Source organism: Homo sapiens, chromosome 16 (genome assembly GCF_000001405.40).
Source record: "Homo sapiens chromosome 16, GRCh38.p14 Primary Assembly".
Lineage (NCBI taxonomy): Eukaryota > Metazoa > Chordata > Mammalia > Primates > Hominidae > Homo > Homo sapiens.
The window spans coordinates 26,985,315-26,986,887 of NC_000016.10; the positions used below are offsets into that span (position 1 = coordinate 26,985,315).

The following is a 1,573-nucleotide window of genomic DNA, read 5'->3' on the forward strand; positions in this document are numbered from 1 at the left end:
TTAGGCTGAAACCTACTGGGTTGCATTTCCAAACGATTAAGGCATTCTAAGTCATAGGATGAGAGAGGAGGACATCACAAAATATAGGTCATGAAGACCTTGCTGATGAAAAACAGGTGCAGTAAAGAAGCTGGCCAAAACCCACCAAAACCAAGATGGCGATGAGAGTGACCTCTGGTCGTCCTCACTGCTGCACTCCCACCGGCGCCATGACAGTTTACAAATGCCATGGCAACGTGTCAGGAAGTTACCCTATATGGTCTAAACAGGGGAGGCATGAATAATCCACCCCTTGTTTAGCATATCATCAAGAAATAACAACAAAAATGGGCACTCAGCAGCCTTCGGGGCTGCTCTGTCTATGGAGTAGCCATTCTTTTATTCCTTTACTTTCTTAATAAACTTGCTTTCATTTTACTCTACGAACTCGCCCTGAATTCTTTCTTGCACGAGATACAAGAACCCTCTCTTGGGGTCCCGATCGGAATCCCTTTCCTGTAACAGGCTCAGAGCATGGCCGAAAACAGGCTATGGTGGTAAATCAGGTTTCAGGGGCAAGGCAGATTATGGAAGGAGAAGTGGAGGAGGCTTGGCTAGCAAAGGTGGCCTTGTTATGTAGATCAAACCACACAGGTAGCAGCCCCCACAGAGAATAAATGGTAAATGGTTTTTTTTGTTTGTTTGTTTTTAAGATGGAGTCTCGCTGTGTCGCCAGGCTGGAGTGCAGTGGCGTGATCTGGGCTCACTGAAGCCTCTGTCTCCCGGGTTCAAGTGATTCTCCTGCCTCAGCCTCCCGAGTAGCTGGGAATACATGCACGCACCACCATTCCTGGCTGGTTTTTTCTTTTTTTTAATTTTAGTAGAGACGGGGTTTCACCATGTTGGCCAGGATGGTCTTGATCTCCTGACCTCGTGATCTGCCCTCCACCTTGGCCTCCCAAAGTGCTGGGATTACAGGCGTGAGACACCGTGCCCGGCCAAATGCTTCTTTCAGATCTTTAAGGTGTCAGATTCAGTTGCTCCCTCCTAGATCCAAACCAGGAAAGGCCTGGCTGCATGAATGGGGACCCTGTACAGATGCAAATTTCCACCACAAAAGACAGCTTTGCAGGGTCATTTCAGTCTGCTGACCCTGCATTAATAGCCCTCAGCTGCTATACTAAGACCTTCCTTTCGTAATATCTCTGAACACTCAGAATTCCTTCCAAAACGGTGAGAAAATAAGTTTCTGTTGATAAAGCCACCCAGTCTATGATACTCTGTTCTAGTGGCCTGAGCTGACTAAGACACGCTTCTACCTGTAGGGGGGTGGGGGGCTTCTGGAGGAGGAGGAAGAGGAAGATAAAGCTGGAAAAGAGGGAAAAAGCAGCAAGGGAAAAGGAGAAGAGAGCAACGGAAGAGAAAGAAGAGGAGGAGAAAACACAAGAAGAAAAGAAAGAGGGGAGACCAGAGCTTCAGCCCCACACAGGACTGGCTCCGAAAGTTGTTAAAACATTGAAAACCTCCTATAATAGTTGGTCAAACAGTTGTCTCAAATGCCCCCACCTCCCTGGCCAGCCTGTCCTCACTCCAG

At 47.9% G+C, this 1,573-nt stretch overlaps 1 annotated feature.

The window, feature by feature from the left end:
• Positions 220-868: an enhancer, noted in NCBI's record as "OCT4-NANOG-H3K27ac-H3K4me1 hESC enhancer chr16:26996855-26997503 (GRCh37/hg19 assembly coordinates)". NCBI's record gives its function as "activates a minimal SCP1, AML or CMV promoter by ChIP-STARR-seq in naive H9 embryonic stem cells {active_cell/tissue: H9 hESC(naive)}" and the evidence as "EXISTENCE:reporter gene assay evidence [ECO:0000049][PMID:30033119]".